The sequence below is a fragment of the Homo sapiens genome, chromosome 12 (assembly GCF_000001405.40).
Source record: "Homo sapiens chromosome 12, GRCh38.p14 Primary Assembly".
Taxonomy (NCBI): domain Eukaryota; kingdom Metazoa; phylum Chordata; class Mammalia; order Primates; family Hominidae; genus Homo; species Homo sapiens.
The window spans coordinates 126662185-126682968 of NC_000012.12; the positions used below are offsets into that span (position 1 = coordinate 126662185).

Consider the following 20784-nt stretch of genomic DNA (forward strand, 5'->3'; position numbering starts at 1 on the left):
AGAAATAATGCTTTATGAGCTATCTGGATATCCCTTAATACAGTCAAGTTGACACCTAAAATTTACCATCACGTCTTCATAAGACTTTGCTGCATTTACATGTCCTGAAACAAAAGCCAGCTCAGGTTCTTCTCTTGGCGAGGCTGGGCTCTTACACCCTAGCTGCACGGGAGTTGGAGAAGGCCCTGGCAATTTCATATTATGGAGTGGGTGGTAATTTTTGCTTCCTACAAAGAATCTTCAGTTGGGGAATTCCCCAAACAGAAAAAAAAACCAAACAGAGGAGCAAATAAAAATAGGTATATTTGTTCACTAGGGCTGTTATAAGAAAGTTATTTAAGTTTGGAAATGAAGGGCCCAAGGAGTTTGGAGATTGCCTAGAATGTATTAGAAAAATGTGCAGAAGGCACAGACTTGAGCATTGTTGCAGTAGTGAGCCAATCTGCATTGCAACATCACAGGCTGAGATGTAGTTTTTTTATTTAACAATATTTTTGTATTTAAGAATTTGAAAGTTTGGGTTTTTTTCTTCATATTCTGCTCCTCTCTGATAAGCACAGGTGGCATCTCTTAAGAGACTTTTAGGATGCCTCCTAAGACTTAGAGTACACGAGGTTGTCATTGACAGTGTGTATAAAATTGCGTCTGTCTTACCTTCTTCTAGGCAGGAAAACAATGACACAGCTGAAGTTTTCTCTAGGAAAGTCACTTGAACCATCCCTCTTAGTTATATAAACATTTATTTTCTTAAAATTTTCATATGACAAATATCTGAGTAGCCACACTCATTCATGCCTTCATTTCCTCAAAAGATTGAACTCTATCCAGTAAACGGAGATAGAAAAGGGCAGAGAAATTCCTCTTCTCATACAGTTATTTCAGTGGCATACAAAATTATGGTATTCAGAGTATGCCAAAAAGGGTATTCAGTGGCCTACCCTTTTTGGCATACAAAATTGACTCTGGAAGGTAGAAATCTTAATTTTCATAGAGAATCCAGGATCTCTCAGTAGGGTGGAAGTGGATGCTGCATTTCCTCTAACTTCAGTTGCATATCTATGAAATAAAATTGCTTTGTGGGAAGAAGTCAGTGACCTGGCTCAGTTAAAGGTGGTAAGAGTTCATTTCAAAGAGTTGGCTTCAAAAAAACATGCAGCTGATTGCAGGATTCTTCATGGAACAGAGGTGGTGATTCGAAGAAAATGGCTAAAGATGTATATGACTCTGAAAGGACAATAATTTGGCACCCAACTGTGCCTGAGCACAGGGATCTAGGCAGTCCTGAACAACGCAGCCCATGGATCTGCACAGAATGACTCTTCAACAGTGCCACCGTGAGGCCATGTGAAGCAATACCCCTGTTGTCCGTGAGATTTATTTATTTATTTTCTCCTTGCTGTTTAAAAGAGACTGGATTCCTTTTGAACTATAGATTGAAACCAATGGATCTTGAACCATTTTTCATGAGATAAAAATGAGACAGAAATTCCATAATTCTTACTAATAGAGCTTTTATTTATTAGTCAATTACTTGGAGGTGGTCCTGGTGATATATGCCAGTTCACGTCTCTCCTCTTTATGGAAAGGGTCTTATCACTGCTTCTTCCATAATAACAGTCCCCCAGTTTTATTCACAAACCAACCAAACAGACCTGTGCCCTTGAGAGGAGATGACTGAGAAGCTGAAAAGGTGAGTCATGCCTGTTCTAGCCAGTTTTGGCCCTTGTACCTGTGCTTGGTCTTGGAATGAGCCTTTCAGCCAGTTTGCACCTATGAGTCCGATGGGAGGTTTGCTGGGGCTTCTAGGAAAGGTGGATTCTTCATAACAGAACATTGTCAGAAATGTTTCCTTTTCTGCCTGCTCTGTCTCATCCTGCTTCAGATGAATATCATGTAAGGCCATGATACCTGAACCTGAAAGTTTAGAGGACTGGCTCACGGTGATGCCATGACCTGATATTACAGCACTGATAAATGACCTTAGCACTGCCCATCTCCACAGTTATTAATTTAAATTATTATTATTTGGGATTTCTGTCATTTTAGCACAAAATATTCCCCAAAGTGCAATTTTTCTTCATTACTAAAATAAAAATACTACACATTTTAACATAATTATTTTATATAAAAACTTTAAAATATATATTTAAGAAAAGCTTACCCAGTTATACCTTTAGATTGCATTGTGCACTTTTACTTGATAAGTATTGTCTTAAATGCAATTAAAGGATGGATTTTGAAATAAATGGTTTAACATCTGCCTCTTAATAGCAAATTTCACACGTAGGCAGGAACCAAGTCTCTCAGATACACCCCCTAATACATAATGGAGGGTCCGACAAAATAGTTGATACTCAAAATTATTTGTCAATTAAAAGCTGGATGCAACAAAGAAATGCCATTTCACACTTCTATTAAAGATTGAGCATTATTACCAAATTCCAGTGCAGTCACATGTAAGCTCAAAGGCAAGGGCACCTTCCCAGTGGACAAGAAGAAAAGGTAATTTTTGGAATCGAAATGCTTTCTCCAAACTTTTGATGCATAAGAAATAAATACTCAGTTCAGGCTAGGTAATCACTCATGTTTTATTGATTGTGTGTCTTCAGAGTAAAGAAAAAAAAATAAGTGTAAACAGCCTCTAAAGGAGAAACTTATCCAGGAGCTATTGATTTGCCTTAAGTGTCCTGGGGGCAGGGCTGATCCCTAAGCCAAGCAGCTCCATGCAGGATGCCCTCTCCTCTAAAGGCAGCAACCCCCTGTCACAAATTACATTGTTAAAATTTTCCAGTGAAGTCTTACAAAGGTTTTGTACTGAGTGGGCTAGTATTTTTTCAATCATAGATTAAGTCTTTTTAGTGTCCTGAAACACATTTGTTCTTCCAAGACTATCATTTGTCCAAAGATAGGTGGTGCAAGGTGATTTGGATGAGTTGAAACCCTCAATCTTGAATTTCATAGGGAGAGTTATAACTACTTGATTACAGGCTGAGGTTTCTTTGCCTTCAATTCCTCAAAGAGAGGACCCCACAAGCTCCACTCAGTGCAGAGAGGATCTCTTTTGGGAAGGAGAAGGCAAAATAGCACGTATTTAACACTGCCTGGGTTATGAACTTAGCTATACTCACTTAATATATGGATAGATATTTAATTTTCCCACTTTCCAAAATGACAAAAAAATAAAAACTTATAAGAGTTATATCACTTATCTACATTCGCCTGTATAGTAAGTGCTAGGTGGGATTGGTATTTGAACTCACGACAATTTAAATCCATGCCCCTTCCACGAAGAATGCCAATTACACTTCAGTTCATGTGTCAGGTCCCAAAAGAATGATTTCATTGCCCAGAGATGTGCTGAGATTTTTCTAAATATGCATCTAGGGTTAGAAGGAAAAGTGACAATATTGACTAGGAACATCTGCTGCAGGTCAGGAAGACTGAGTGGTTATGGTGTAATAAGAGCTACTTAATTGCTCTTCCTGTACTAAACCATAGTTGGTTCCCAAATGAACCAAATTTATCCATATCTGTTCTATTATTCTAGATTTAGTAACTTTTAAAATGTTCATTAATTTCAATAGATATCTTTTACTTTATCACACAGTGGGGGAAAAAAGGTGATAACATTTTTCTTCCATAGAATGCTCTCATTCTTTTCTGGAATTAAATATGTACCTCATATCAGGGAAATCAAAGCATCTCATTGACATAACCACAGTACTTTAGGAATAGTTACTGACCTAATGAGTAAATGAGAGATAAGACTTTTTGGGGCTATTGTGTAGAGGAAAAACATATTTTTAATAGGACTTGAACCTGAGAGGATACAGCCCTCCCAGATCCCATCTCAATTCCATGTGGAGCCTGACAATGAAGTTAACATGGATAAGGGAAGACTTAGGAGATGGAGACCAAATCCTGGTATCCTTGTGTGAGCCCCAATCCCAGCCTTGCCGGAATTCATTTCTTCCAATAAAGAGTTACATCAACAAATTATCTTGTGTACCTAAGCTGTTTGGAATTATATTTTCTATGTCACTCAAATATTTAGACAACCTGAAGAATTTGCATCCACAGGAGCTTTCTTGTACTCAGGATAGTGGCCACTTTGAGTATCTTTAATAGATGGAATCAGCATGTCTTTAACCATTTTCACACCTTCATTCACTCACCAAACATTTACCTAGTAAGTACCATGGAGCAGGGACTACCCAAATCACTAGGAGCATAGAGCTAATTCGACAGGAACCCTGCCTCTAGGTCTTAGAATGCCAATGGATGGAGCAAATGTGCATAGAAACAACTTCAGTTCAAGACTTTATGGGACTGATTGTTGTTACATTTTAAAAATGGGGGGTTTCTCTGATCTGAGCTAATCAAATAAACATCAGACACGGAATTCAGGCTTTGAAGGATGGATAGAAATTTGGAAGAAAGAAATGATGGGTAAAATGGAGCATGCAAAGGGAATAATGACAGGAAATGTAGATGATAAACCACAGGTCAAATCCAAGACATGGTAGGTGTTCCAGATTCAGTAGCACTGGAGTGGTGCCCTTGAGTGGTAAGGTGAGACACTCCCTTGAAGAGAGAAAAATAAGTAGCATAAATTTTGAGAGAATAATCCATCTGGGGTTTGAATAGTAAAGGAAGGGGGTCAGGGGACCCAGTGATAGTCTAAAGTATAAGGAGCAAGGAGACTGGAAGAGACGAGAACAGTTAAGGTGAAATCAGTTAATTCTTGACTGGATCATGGATCCATTAAAAGCTGCTACACCAAACAATTAGGGGACTATTGGAGAAATTTAAATGTGGACCAGGTGAAATGAATAATTTGCTAATTTTGTTAAACATCAAAATAGTGTTAGCTGATACAGGAGATTCCTTATTTTTTGGAGATGTGTGATAAGGTATTTAGAGTAGAAGTATCATGCTGTTTGTAATTTTTCTTGAAATGGTTCCAAAATAAATAAAGGAAATATGGCAAAGTCTGAATCTTCATTGAATTTGGGCAGTGCATGCAGTTTTGTTATAGTTTCCTTTAAATTTCTCTGTATGTTTGAAAGTGTTTTTTAAAAATCAGAGAAGTTAATAAAAGGGCAACTGCAACTCATATATTGGATACTGGGAGTAGACAGACAAAGGGAGCTCTCCTAAGAGATGAAACATGCTCGGAAAGTCCATTTTCTTTCCTACACGAGCTTCTCTGGAACATTTGCCTTGGCAGCAACAATTTTCTTCCCGATAGTCATTGTTTTTTCTTTATGGCTAAATTGCTTTTGTCCAGACAGTAATTTGCCCAGCCCCAGAGACTGAGTCATGGTTGGTCTGCTGCAGCCCTGACTTCCCATTCCTCTTTGCCAAATGCTTTTCCTGCCTCCCTTAGAACCAAAGGTGAACAGTGATGCAATACTGGCTTATGAGGCCTAAGGGGATCTTCTGGAACCACGATGCTCAGAGTGCTTTTTAAGGACCAGGAGCTTCAATGCCACCTCTGAGGTTGGGGGAAAAACACAGCATTGATCCCCACCACAGACCTACTAAATGTCTAAAGAATACAATAAACAGGAGTAGACATGATTGTTTTATCACTCAGTTTGTCAACAGATTTGATGTTGCTTGGTCCTGTCACTGACCTGTGTAGCTAATAAAGAATCAGCCCATGTCTGTGCACAAGAAACACGTCGAATGTGCTATATTGAGGCTCTCTTACTATAGAAAAAATGCTGGTGTCATAGGAAATTTGGTCATGCAACACATGATTCCTAAGCATTTGAATTGACTACAATCTGTGACAATTTTGTGACATCCTGTCCACTCATTCGTGACATTTAAAGTGATTCAAAAAGTACTTAATACGAATTCAAATATATATATTAATATACATTAAAATATGTATTTGTATATTAAAGTATATATTTAAATATACATGTATACTTAATATATATTTAATATATATATTTAAATTATTAAGCACTTACATATGTATTGCATTCCTTTAATGAGAGACACCTTGAAATGTTTCAAAGCAAGGTTTTGGAATCTCTGCTTTAAGGTGCTTCTCCTTAAAAGGCACAAGGTTGGATCTTAGCTGAAGTTGAAGACTCTCAGAGGTTGTCGTTTCCTGTATCTACCACGCAGGAACTACCCCACAGGAGCTCTGTGTCTGAATTCTAGGCCCTTCTTAGCATTTCCTATCTATTGGGACTGAGTTTACTTTCCTTCAGACCTCAGGCTGCTCACCTGCCATGAGGATGTTGTATTTATATGATCAGGCAGACTGGTGGCTACCCAGAAACAAAAACTCAACCATCATTGTGCCTAGGATGCCTCCTGAAATCTCTTCCAGCAGCAATCAAGACTAGGAAAAACCATCTGTATGTGGAAGGCACACAACTCCATCCACAAATTCAGATAATCAAGACATATAATTTTATCTTGCTTTATTCTGCAATTCTACTTAAGCTCTATTTTTAACCTCCTCTCATCTCTCAGGAATGTTGACCTTACTCAATTTATGAGGGCTTGAGCAAGATTAACTTCCCTGTGGTGGGGGTTACAGTAATGCACACCCTAGAGTTGATGCAATGGGTGAATGAGTCAATACAAAGCATTTGCAAGAGTGCCTAGTACTTGTGATTGCCATTGTCATAATGATTTAGGGTTGCCACTGCGTCTCTCCAAAGTTGTATCTCTGTTCAAATGACTTAGACAGTATCATGGCCTACATGGTATCTTTGGACTATGCAGCCCTCTGCAGAGACATCCTTTATCCTATCTTGTACTAGGTAACTGGGTCACACAGGTTGCTGCTGTATCAACTCTTGTTCCCTTCTGAGAGGCTCCTCATGCCCAGAAATTATCCTTCTTCATCTTAGTACCTCCCAAGGCTACAAGAGTTTGTTTGGTGCTATGCTGGTCTATAGGAATTTTTATTATTGTATTCTTTAGAGTATGAATCACTCTTATTCCAGATACCTTCTGTTGCCGGTCATGGGGTCATGGAAAAACTGAAAATGTTTTACAGCTCACAGTACTTTTTCTAAAACAAAGACAGTGACCCTCGAGTTGTGTGCCAGATATTCTCCACTGGCAACACTTCAATACTCTTCACCATTTTCCCTCCCACTCTGTACCCTTGAGGGCTAACAATATGGTTTGGCACCATTAATTAGATTCTTTGCCCTCCAACATCCGGTTAGATTGGAAAGTGAGAGTTAATTGCAAGAAATCAGAGAATGAGAGGAGAGGAAATCCAGGTCTTTGGTTCCCTGAATCCACTCCGGTGAGAATGGCCCCAATGCCCTTCAATCAAAGACATGCCAGGACACACTTGTAGCTTAGCAAAGTTGGGTTAATTGCCTTGTGGCAACAAGAGAGGATGAGCACCATGGGAACCATTACGTGTCTCAAGAAGGGTGTATTAGAAACAAGTTGTTCTAGGATTTGGGCCTCCTTCTTTCAGATGATTTTTGGGTAGGTTCCGTGAAGTGAGGCTTTGAATAAAATACTTTCTGAAAGCAAAGTGGTTTGACATCGCCTAACCACTTTTGTGTAAAGTCAGAGTATCTGCTAAGCAGCCCTCATCAGGTTTCTTTAACATATAGGTAGCTGGGTTACCTTTTTTTTTATTAGTAGTAATTTTTTTTTTTTTTTTGATACAGACTTCCACTCGGTCTCCTAGGCTGGAGTGCAGTGACATGATCTTGGCTCACTGCAACCTCTGCCTCCTGAGTTCAAGCAATTCTCCTGTCTCTGCCTCCTGAGTAGCTGGGATTACAGGCACATGCCACTATGCCTGGCTAATTTTTGTATTTTTAGTAGAGATGGGGTTTTGACATGTTGGCCAGGCTTGTCACTCCAAGCCTCAAGTTATCCACCTGCCTCAGCTTCGCGTGGTGCTTGGATTATAGGCATAAACCACTGCACACAGCCAAAATAACCTATTTTATAATGTTTCAGCCTGCCCTCAGTCCAGAGAGTGGAAAGATGGAGAAATCTTCAATATTCTTGAACATATAACCAAGTCCACTTTATCTCCACCTAGAACCCAATCATTCATTGCAGGGAAGTTTCCTGATTTTTCTCTGCATGTCCTTGATTTCCTTTAGTGAAGGGAGACACCATTAAAGTTCATTATGTTTGTCAATGTAGTATTTTATGAATGCAGCCCTTGAAATGTGACCAGATCCAAACCAATCAGATTTGCCACTGTGCTGCCTTTCACAGCAGGGAAAGCTTTATGTTGGACAGAATTTTGTTTTCTTCTTTCCTGTCCTCTTTGAAAGTGCCTATTGCCCTGAATGAATGGTAAGTGGTAAATACTTCTGCCTCTCAGCTTTTTATTCTTATTTCCTTATAATTTTTATGGAAGAATTAGTGAGAAGCAGAAAAAACAAGAAAGTATCTTTCAATAAAAGTTTACTTCTCACTGAGGAGATGGCTGATTAGATTTTATCTTCAATAAAGCCTGGTGAACTTAATTTGGCAGGTGTCTTACCTCTACACATGTTGTGTTATCCAAATAAAGCTTTCTAAACCTGACTGGTAAAAAATAATGACCTGATGATGTTGGTAAATGTAAAGATGCCAGGCTTCTCACTGGGAGAGTCATATAAGTCCAGGGTGGTACCCAGGAATAAGTACTTTTAATAAGTGCCCAATGTGACTCAGAAAACCAGGTAGGTTTGAGCAATTTGGGTAAAAGCAAATTTTTGGCTAGGCATGATGGCTCATGCCTGCAATCCCAGCACTTTGGGAGGAACGCTTGAGCCCAGGAGTTGGAGACCATCCTGGACAACACGGGGAGACTCTGTCTCTATAAAAAATACAAAAATTAGCCGGGTGTGATGGTGCATTCCTGTGGTCCTAGCTAGGCGGAAGGCTGAAGTGGGAGGTAGGCATGAACCCTGGGAGGTCAGGGTGCAGTGACCCTTAATTGTACCACTGTGCTCTATTTAGCCTGGGTGATGGAGAAGACCCTGGGGAAAAAAAAAAAAGGCAAACTTTCTGGTTAAAAAGAATGCAATGAAAGAATTCAGGTCCTGGAGCTGGGAAGGCAGGAGGCTGGGTTGGACTCCCAGCCACCTACAGCTGCATGGGTGTGGGCAGTTACTTTACCTCTCTGGGTCTAGTTTTCTCTTCTATCAAATTCAGATGCTAACAGCCCTGCTCATGTGGAGCTTCCCATCCAGTGGGAGTCAGTAGCTGATGCTAAAGGGGTGCAGGGTCTCACACTGAGGAGAGGGTCAGCACAGAGCAGGGCCCACTCTAGTGAGAATGGCACCAATACCCTTCAATGAAAGACATGCAGGGACAAACTTGTAGCTTAGCAAAGTTGGGTTAATTGCCTTGTGGCAACAAGACAGGGTGAGCACCATGGGAACCATTAGGTGACTCAAGAAGACTGTATTAGAAACAGGTCATTCTAGGATTTGGGCTTTCTTCTTTCAGATGATTTTTGGGTAGGTTCCGTGAAGTGAGGCTTTGAATAAAATGCTTTCTGAAAGCAAGGTTAATTCTACAACTGGACATGTTCATATGTCTATCTAAAAGGCAGAAATGCCAGATCAAAGGTAAGCCTATAATTAAGAAAAAACTGTATTCACTCATATCATTCAGGAAAATAAAGGGATGTTTGGTTGTTTTTGTAGGTTCTTTACTATCCTTATATTTTTGAGAATTCAGACATGATTTTAAAGTGGTCTAGTTATCATCTTAGTCTATCGGAATCACAGAGTGGCTCTGCTTGATATTAGTTTACTGGGAAATTATTTTTTAGTGTTTTATAGACATAATATGTGTTCATATTTATGGGGTACATGTGATATTTTGTTAAATGTAATGATCAAGTCAGGATATCTGGGGTCTCCATCATTTCAAATATGTATTGTTTCTATGTGTTGGGAACATTTCAAGTTTTCTTTTCTAGCTATTTTAAAATATGCAATATAGTGTTGTTAAATATTGTCACCTTATTCTGCTATCAAACATTAGAACTTATTCCTTCTAACTGCATGTTTATGTCCCCCCAAAAACCCTTCCCAGCCTCTGGCTACCAGCATTCTACTCTCCACCTCCATAAAATCAACTTTTCTTTGCTCCAACGTATGAGTGAGAACATGCAATATTTGTCTTTCTGTCCCCAACTTATTTTACTTAATTTCCTCTAGTTCCATCCATGTTGTTGCAAATAGCAGGATTTCATCCTTTTCAGAGGTTGAATAATACTCCATTGTGTAATGTACCACATTTTCTTTATTTATTCATCCACTGATAGACACTTAGGTTGATTCCAAATCTTAGAATAGTGTAAATACTGTGAATAGTGCTAAAATAAACATGGAAGTGCAGCTATCTCTGGAATATATGAATTTCCTCTCTTTTATAGATATACCCAGGAGTGGGATTCCTGGATCATGTAGTAGTTCTATTATTAGTTTTTTGAGGAACCTTCATACTCTTCTCCATAGTGGTTGTATTAATTTCCATTCTCAACAACACTGTATATCCTCACCAGAACTTATTACCTTTTGGATAAAAGCCATTTCAACTGGAGTGAGATGATATCTCACTACAGCGGTGATTTGCATTTCTCGATCATAAGTGATGAGGATTTTTTTATACACCTGTTGGCCATTTGTATGTCTTCTTGGAGAAGTCTCTTCAGATCTTTTGCCCATTTTTAGTTGGATTATTAGAGTTTTTCCTATAGAGTTGTTTGAGCACTTTCTATAATCTGTTTATTAATATCTTGTCAGATGAGTGGGTCACAAATATTTTTCTCTTATTCTGTGGGTTGTCTCTTCACTTTGTTATTGTCTTTTTTTGTTTTGTTTTGTTTTGTTTGTTTGTTTTGCTGTGCAGAAGGTTTTTAGCTTAATTTAATTCCATTTGTTCATTTTTGCTTTAGTTGCCTGTGTGTGGGGGCTATTATTCAAGAAATCCTTGCCAAGACCAATGTCCTAGAGAGTTTCCCAATATTTTCTTGTAGTAGTTTCATAGATCCAGGTCTTAGATTTAATTCTTTTACTCCATTTTAAATTTATTTTTGTATATGGGCAGAGATAGGGGTCTAGTTTCATTCTTCTGCATATGGATGTCCAGTTTTCCCAGCACTATTTATCAAAGAGACTGTCCTTTTCCCAAAGTATGTTCTTAGCACCTTTGTCAAAAATAAGTTCACTGTAAATGTGTGTATTTATTTCTGGGATCTCTATTATTCTGTTCTATTAGTCTATGTATCTGTTTTTATGGAAGTACCATGCTGTTTTAGTTACTATAGCTTTATAGTATAGATAGATAGATACATAATTTATTTTTTATTTTTTTATTTTTTTGAGACAGAGTTTGTCTCTGTCACCTAGACTGGAGTGCAGTGGCATGATCTCAACTCACTGCAACATCCGCCTCCTGGATTACAGTGATTCTTGTGCTTCAGCCTCCCCAGTAGCTGGGATTACAGGCATGCTCCACTACACCTGGCTAATTTTTGTGTTTTTTATAGAGATGGGGTTTTGCCATGTTGCCCACGCTGGTATTGAACTGCTGGGCTCAAGCTATCCCACCCACCTTGGCCTCCCAAAGTGCTGGGATTACAGGCACAAGACACCGTACCTGGCCAGCTTTGTGGTATAATTTGAAGTGAAGAAATGTGATGCCTTCTCCTTTATTCTTTTTGCTCATGTGTGCTTTGGTTATTCTGGGTATTTTGTAGATCCATTAAAATTTTAAGATTTTAAATAAAAAATTTCTTTAAAATTTTGGTATTTTGATAGAGATTGCATTGAATCTGTAGATTGTTTTGGGTAGTATAGATATTTTAACAATATTACTTTTTTCAATCCATGAACATGAAATATTTTTTGTTTTTTTATGTCTTCTTCAATTACTTTCATCAATGTTGTATAGTTTTCATTGTAGAGATTGTTTAGTTCTCCAGTCACATTTATTGCTAAATATTTTTTATATTTGTAACTATTGTAAATGGGATTCCTTTCTTGATTTCTTTTTCAGATTGTTCACTGTGGGCATATAGAAATGCTACTGATTTGTTGTATGTTGATTTTATATTCTAATTCTTTACTGAGTTGGTTTATCAGTACTAACAGTTTTTTTGGTGGAGTCTTTAGATTTTTTAAAATATAAGATTGTATCATCTGCAAACATAGACAGTTTGACTTCTTCCTTCCCAAATTGGATGCCCTTTATTTCTTTCTCTTGTTTAGTTGCTCTGGTTAAGACTCCTAGGACTATGTTGAAAACAAGTGGTGAAAGTGGGCATCCTTGTCATGTTCCATATCTTAGTGAAAGAGCTGTCAGTTTTTCCCTGTTTATTATGATACTAGCAGTGGTTTTGTTGTATACGACTTTTATAATATTGAGGTATGTTCCCTTTATTCCCAGTGTTGTGAGAGTTTTTATCATGAAGAGATGGTATATTTTATCAAATGCTTTTTCTGCATTTATTGAAATGAACTTGTGTTTTTTGTCTGTTACTGTTATGATGTATCACATTTATTGATTTTCATATGTTAAAACATTCTTGCATGAATCCCATTTAATCATGATGAATGACCTCTTTAATATGTTATTAAATTAAGTTTGTTAGTATTTCTTTGAGGATTTTTGCATCTGTGTTCATTACGGATTTTGGCCTGTAATTTTCTTTTGGTGTCTTTGTATGGTTTTGGTATCAGGGTAATACTGGCCTCATAGAATTTGTTTGAAAGTATTCACTACTCTTTGATTTTTTTTTGGAATAATTTAAGTAGGATTGACATCCATTCCTCTTTAAATGTTTGGTAGAATTCAGCAGGTGCTGTTTGATGGGAGACTTTTTACTACTGCTTCTATCTTGTTATTGGTCTATTCAGGTTTTAGATTTCTTCATGGTTCTGTCTTGGTAGGTTGTATGTGTCTAGGACTTTATCCATTTCTTCTATATTTTCCAGTTTGTTGGTGTATAGTTGCTAATAATAGGTTCTAATGAACCTTTGGATTTATGTGGTGTTAGTTATAATGTTCTCTTTTTCATCCTAATTTTATTTATTTGGGTATTCTCTCCTTTTTCCTTAGTCTGGCTGAAGGTTTGTCAATTTTGTTTATCTTTTCAAAAAGCCGACTTTTTGTTTCATTGATCTTTTGTATTTTTTTAGTCTCAAATCCATTTGTCTCATCCCTGATCTTTATTTTTTGTTTCTCCAACTAATTTTGGGTTTGGTTTGCCCTTGTTTTTCTAATTCTTTGAGATGCATCATTCTGTTGTTTATTTGAAGTTTTTCTACTTTTTTGAGGAAGGCACTTATTGTCTTTCATTCTTTTCCTTTTGCCTGAGGAAAATCTGGGGGCCAATCTTGCTGTCAGCTGAGACTTCCCTGGGTATCCAACTTCAAGTCTAGATTATGTGCTTACATAATTATAATGACCAGAAGATCTACATTGTGTTCAGCAGCAGCAACATGTAGGCACTCTCCTAAGTGCTTTGCATGAGTTAAATTATATAATACAGCAACCCTCTTTCCCTGTCTCTGTCTCTCCCTCTCTCTCTACACACACACACACACACATACACACACATGCATATATATAGGCTTGTAAATATATGTCTGTATATGTGTGTATATGCATATCACACATATATGTTCAACAAATATATATATATATATATATATATATATATATATATATATATGCACACATCCCATTTTTCTGATAAAGCAACGAAAGCAAGAGAGGCAGGCCAGTGTCACGCAAGTGGTTAATGACAGTTGACCTTTGTCATTTGGACCTTTGTCATTAGAACTTTGTCAACAGACCTTTGTCAACAGACCTTTGTCATTTGGACCAGACCACCATCCTCTAGTTCCCACTCTCTCCACCATGTCTCACTGCCTTTCATCTTTTGATTACTTACCTATGCCAGTTAGTTTCCTAACCAGCTTTTTAGGTGATCCCCATGAGCACCCTGTGAGGTTGGTGCTACCATTACCCATCATACAGATGAAGGAACTGAGAGGCTCAGAGACTAGTATCCTGACCATCCATGTGAAATGCAGATCCTCCTTCAGGAAATCTCGAGCTCAAGAAAAGGTGTTCTTCCTAATTTAATTCTATGTTCTTGACAATAAAAGCTAAACAGGAATGAGTGCAGCTCAAAGGCAGACCTGAGATAAAACAACAGAAAAAAAGCACCACTGGTTCACTTATTTTATGTCCTTCTCAAAGAGCAAAAGAGGTTTCTTCCTCTTTCCTTCCTAAGTACCTTCCCATTTAGGCTGCAATTTCTCTGTGCATCCCTTGTTTTCTCTGAGAAAGAGGGACACACTCAAGCATAACAAAGTGTCCCAGAATGTAATATTGAATTGGCCATAATTGGACACTTACTCTCTATTTACTCTCTATGAGTCACAAGGCCAGAACAATTCCCTTTGTCCTTTGGAAAACCTCCTTGTTTGGTGGAGATGCTCTTCACACTGAACAGCTGTTCAGGCTTGTCATGGTGCAAAAATAGCAAATGACACACTGAGCCCTACTTGTTACCCATACTGGGTCTGCTGCTGCTACTGTATTTAGAAGAGGCAGGGACCTTATAAACAACATGAAGGAGTTTTAGAAGCTATCTTTCCTGTAAAGACAAGAAGAGCCCTGCAAACTAGCTCAATACTAAGCAAAATTTCCTAGTCTCCCCTTTTTACCTTTATTTATCCTAATTTTCTTTTTTTTCCCTTAGTTTCAGAGGGTGAGGGGCCAAAGGAGAAAGCAGCAATAGAGAGGGAAGGGGTACCCAAGGTAGCTACTCTATGTGGTTGAGGGGTCAGGACAAGAGTGTAGTTTTGAGTCCTGGACTGTGAGACATGTGTTCACCTAGGTTTGGGGATAGGGTTGAGAGACTTGAGGGTTGGGCCACTCTCAAAGCCCATAAATTTAGTGGAAAATAGGAAATCCTCAAACAGGGACTTTATTTTAAAAAAAGGGGAGCAAGTGGAGAAAGAGGAGGAGAACAAAAATACAAGAGACAAAATATACTGTACAAATATGTGATAATGTTGCAAAATAAGGATTTAAACACTGGTCTGTTCATTTATTTATTTATGTATTCTCCATTTGATAAATATTTCTGCCAATTCATGTCCACTGAGAAGCAGATGCCAAGATGACATTATACACATGAAAGGTCTATTAGGAGAAATGCTTGTGAAGGATGAAGAGAAGAGTAGACAGGGACATGCAAGGAGAGCCTTTAGACCATGAGGCAGGTTGGATGCCAGCAAGTGGAGAGAGGGAAGAAAGACTCACACTCACACTGTTGCAGATCTCTAAGAAATCCAGCGAGGCACATAAGGAGTCCACAGGCAAAAATGCCCAGTGGGAGGTGCACGTTGGGCAGAAATGTCCTGGCTCTACTACCCCACTGCAACTTTTGGTTAGTGTTTGGAAATACCTTGTGTGGGAAGATGGAGATCTATGGTATTTGAAGCAGATTTTTGTGAAGGGAGATGTGAGCACTGGAATCTAAGGCTGCCAGCATCCACCCCTTCGGCTGCACAGGTCTTCTACATGTGATCAGGAAGCAGTTACTCAATGTGCCCCATGGGCCTTATTCACTGAAGGGAAGATTAGAAGAGCGAGTATATGGAACACACTACAGACTTGGTTGCTGCAGTTGATCTTAGCACCACGTGAGGTTCCTACCATCTCTCTCCTCCAGTATAAATGACAAATTCTTCCACTCTCATGGATTTTCCGTGAAGATCTTGCTGGCGGACTTGATACTGCGGCCTAACCTTCATCCCTGATGGGTCTGACCTGCTGGTAATCATACTCTTCTCAGTCAGGAGTTGCTATACATGTTCACTCACAGTTATAATTAGACAAAGGAATATAAGAAGGTACCAAAGTGGATCACTTGAGGTCCATGCATATTCTTCTCATTCTTCTCTTGCCCCCATTGTGTAAGAGCATTTTCAGCTCCTTTCAATCAGGGTCAGTTATGCCTGCCATCATGGTGACCCCTTATCTGTTGACATCTTCACAAGGGATCCAAAGTGCCCAGGTGCCTGCCATAACCTGTAGCTCAAGGGGAACCTTGCTTTTCCCATGGACAGAGTGCATACATTCAGGGACAGGACCCCACGTTCGGGGACAGGACCCCTAGCCGTGCAGAACTCAGAATGGCAGGAATGAGAGACAAACATTCTCCCAATGGCCCATTGGGAAGATGGTAAATAGAGCCATTGTTTTATTACTCTGATTTTATGGATCAATTTAGTCTTCCCTTAGCTACACAACACCATATAGAGGTCTCTGATTTAATGCGTATACTACATTCTAAAAAATGGTAATCTATCCTCACAGAGTATTACCCCAACCTGGTATTTCAACCACGCCATTAGTAAGTAATTCCAATTCTCTCAAGCTGGCTCCTTCCAGGCAATGCAATGTGTTGTATTGCTGATAGATCTTACGTTTATGGGCCCTTTCATGAACCTCCTTGTTATGAAGTGGGTTCCTGTTGGATGCTATGCTGTATGAAATTTCATGCTTGTGGATCAAGCCACCTATAAGCACACAGATAATGGTACTGGCTGAGGCTCCCCCAGCAGGAAAGCAAATCTGTCTATGAAATATATATCTAAGGCTGTGATTAATCACTGGGTTTTCCAGGATGGAAGGGATCCAATTTAATCGGCTTAGAAAAAAGTGGCTGTTCTCCTTGGGACTAGTGTCATAATTGAAACTCAATTTTGATCTCTCTTGCAAGCAGATTGGGTATTTCGAGATGCAATGAGAATGAACTTTATGAGTTAAAGTCCATGTTATTGGGCCCATCTATACATTCCACCTTTGCCACCATGAAGGCTACATCAGTGTGTCCACCATGCTAGTTCTGGAGTAGATAATGACAAAGGTTGGCTCATGTGAACTGGCAGGATCATTTTGTCTCCTGGATTGTTGATTTCTTCTTCAATCATAGATTACTTATAGTGACATAAATGTATGAAACAGCTTCATGGTTTATGCCAACTCCGTTATGCCCATCCATGTGCCTCTTTCCCAGATGTTTTTGTCTCAGACTTTCCAGTCTTTTCCTTACAGGATTCTGACCAGCCACCTAGGTCTTTGACCACTGCTCAGGAATCCACAACTATTCTCATCTCAGGATTCTACTTTCATACAAAGAGGATGGCCAGGTACACTTATTCCAGTTCTAACAATGAAGATTTCCCCTCACCACTGCCTTTCAGCCCCACCACTGAGTATATGTGTAATGCAGCCCCCATCCATTTTTTAGTTGTACCCACATACCTAGCTGAAAACCAAGATCTGGGAGTGAGCTGATGGAATGATTCTTGTGTAACCATGGCAGGTGACATGCATGGCTAGGTTACTTGATCATACAGTGTACTCAGTCCCTCTGGTGTTGTTCTGGCGTAATCTCATATATGGCATTTCCATTTTATAATGGATTCTGTGGTCCTGCCTGACCCAGGAAAAGAGGGTCTAATAAAACATAGCTCATAACTAACAGTTCCAGATGCATGGTCTTTTGGTGCCCTCTTGGTCCATCTCTGTTTCATCTCTACTGGAGCAGAGTAATATGCCAGGATTGGACTCACACAAGAAAAGCACATACATTTCTGCTACAGATGATATGGCCTGGCTGTAGAACTTCATGGCTTTGCTTTAAAACTCCCATTGTGATTTGCCATAAACTCCACAATGCATATGTGTGTGTGTGTGTGTGTGTGTGTGTGTGTGTGTATACACCCCTGACATCTCTAACATCGTAATGACTGTAGTGACTGATAGATCATATGGCCCAAGTGGCAAGGCTGTCTACAATAGAGCTTGCATCTGCTGCAGAGCTTTTTCCTGACCAAAGCAAGTCAGCTTCTGTGTCTTAAAATATATGGTTCTCAGCAGTATTTTTGTGTGTGGAATGTGCTGCCTCCAGAACCTGGAGCGTCCCACCAGATATTATGTTTACTTCATTGTTGCAGGGGATGCAAGGTGCAGCAATTTGTCTTTTAATGTGGAGTTCCTGTATACCCTGAATACTGGACACCTGAAAACATACTGAAATGGCAAGTCCCAGAATTTCTTATTTTTTTCACGTATGTGTCTTATTAAAGACTTCTGCAAACTAATCACCTGTTGCTTGCCCTGACCAATAAGCATGATGTCATCAGCATAATGAAACAACATGCTATTTTTCAGGATGTCTAGGTGGTCCATATATCTTTAGAATACATCATGAGTAAGGATGGGAACATTAGCATAATACTGGAGCAAAGATGTAAAGAAATGCATGCCATTTGTATATGAATTGTGTCTGACTCTCCTGGGATTAAAATATAAATTGTTGGCCAAATAAGTAGACACATACTATGGACCTGAGGCTTTAATAATTTGTTCTAATAACAATAGCCCATCTGAGATAGCGACTGTGAACAGGGCTACTGCTTGACGGAAGTTGAGATAGTGTAAAGTCACAGGCCAAGCTTCATCTGCTTTTTGGAGGGGCTAAACTGGTGAAATAAACAAAAATATGATTGTGGCCATGATCCCCGCACTGACTGATCTTTAATTGTGGAGTGAATCTCTGCTAGCCCTCTCCTCAGGATGTAATATTGTTTTGGTTTTACAACTTTGACTGGGTGGGGGTAGTTAAAGTGACTTGTATTTAGCCTTTCCCACTATGACAGTTCTGACCTCACAGGACAAATATCCCATGTGCAGGTAATTCTAACTGTGGAACATGTCCATCCAAATTAGACACCTAGGGACTGAGGAAGTAACTGCAAATTGGTCCACAGGCCACAATTATTTTTGCTTTCTCAAATATAAAGCCCAGAAATTGCTGAGCTATTTTCTACAATTCTTCCCCTTCTTCCTGAAGACTGAGGGTGATTCTTTCCTGATCTGAGTGGTTTGAGTTCAAGAGCTGGTGTTTCTCATTCAGCATTTGGGATCAGGTGATAGAAAAATTTTCATAGGAGCCAATAGCCAAGAAATATTGGAGGATATATTCTTATTATTTATCCAAGGAAAAATAGTGAGCACAAAGTGAAATTCAATTACCCTCCATGCCTAGTGAAATCTAGTTCAGCCTCTGCCTGCAGTTAATCATATCACAAGTGCTTGTCTTTATTTGGAATATAAAGTAGGACACAGTTCCCACTTTCTCAATTATTTCTCATTAAAGGTGGAAGAATCTTTGGAATTTCTTTCTTCTGAACAATTTTTTCTTAGAGGAAAGAGGAAATACCACACAACTCTGCCCAGGTTTCAGACCCCATTTGGGGATTCTCCTGAGAACAAAAGCGCGTCATCTTGAGTTCACTCAACCACTCTGAGTCGATTATTCTCAACCTGCTCAGGAATGTTTAAATGCCCTCTTCCCACCAGCATTATTTCAGTCTAGGCTTATGAACATTCTGTCTTTGGTTATGCACTCTATTATAGCTGCTGCATATTAAGCACCAAACACAGTACAGGACATTTGGATTTTAAATTTTCATTGAGCCAGACCCCCCTCTTCATTTGTGAATTTAAGAGTCAAACATTCATTGAGTTCCTACCTTTTGCAGCTCAGCAATCTCTCCAATGTAAAGCCCTGAGCCTCCCTTTACTAAATAGCTGAACCCCTGATGATATGTTAGGCACTGTCCTAGGTGCTGAATATCCAGTGGAGAACTATACCAAACCTAGACCATCCAGTCATGGTGGTTACATCCTACCAGAGAAGAAACACGTTAACCAAACAAGCACAAACCTATTAAATTACACACTGAAACATGCACCATAGATAAAATGCACAGGGAACTACAAGAGGACAGGCAGGGGTCCTGACCTCTCTAGGACTGCAGTGAGGACAGAATGTACGAGTACCTTTTGAGCAATAAGCTCTATATAAGTATCAGCCAATTGCATTCTCACACAGCTATTAAGAGGCAGGTCCTGGACTTGACACAGGTTCTCTGGCTTAATCCCCAGACTCTCATCCACCACCCTAAACTCTTTCTGTCTCCTAACCTTTGGATGTACCAGCTCTGTCTCCTGAGGTGGCTATTCTATCAGGGCTAAAGCAGTGGCACTGGAACTTTTGGGGAAAATTTTCTTCAATACAAGCATGCAAACGGGAAAGAACTGATGGTCCTCTGCTGAAAGGGAGACTGAAATACAAGCCTTCCCACTTAATTTTCAAATTTCCAGCAGTATTGTTGCAGTAATTTGGAGTCATTCTGTAGCAGAGATATTTTAATTTTTTCCTTTCCAATGACTCTTTACATTTCTATGGCCATACTGTCCTTGATAACATAAAAAAAATTTAAATTATGGCATTTGTTCAATGTTGAGTTCTTGTTTTGTTTTGTTCCTTTTAAATTTATCTTTCTTGTAAGTCAAAGAATCATTGAATTCATTTCTATTACCATGTTTGCTGTTTGAATGAAGTTATTTAATTGGTACCAAAAGAAATGTGGGTGTGTTGCTATCCACTTATGAAAGAACTTCACAAATGAACTTCCCCAATCTGTATCAGGCAGAAGCTACACCAGAAATGCAGCTCTGCTTGTTAAGAAGAATAATCTTACCAGATTCTCATTATTAGTGCTCAGCTCTGGGTCCTACCAATTAAACATTTCTAAAGTTGTGGGATAAGAAGGATTGGCCCCAGTGTCCCCTGCTCTTTGAAAATACAGTGGATCTGAGTGGGGCTGGGTGGGAGGCTTGTATTAGTCCATTTTCACACTGCTATAAAGGAATATCCCAACTTCA

General features: G+C 39.1%; 1 long non-coding RNA gene across 3 annotated transcripts in view; it reads right to left on the bottom strand.

The window, feature by feature from the left end:
* LOC100996671 (uncharacterized) overlaps positions 1-20784 on the bottom strand; it is a 37373-nt gene that overhangs the window by 9239 nt on the left and 7350 nt on the right. Inside the window, exon 2 of one of the 3 annotated variants that reach the window (NR_110034.2) lies at positions 3261-3380. The exons of 1 other annotated variant lie outside the window; for it this stretch is intronic. This is a non-coding gene — a long non-coding RNA (uncharacterized LOC100996671). Of the gene's footprint in view, positions 1-1494; positions 1915-3260; positions 3381-20784 lie in introns of those variants that run through there. One more of the 3 variants, NR_110036.2, reaches the window with a different exon arrangement.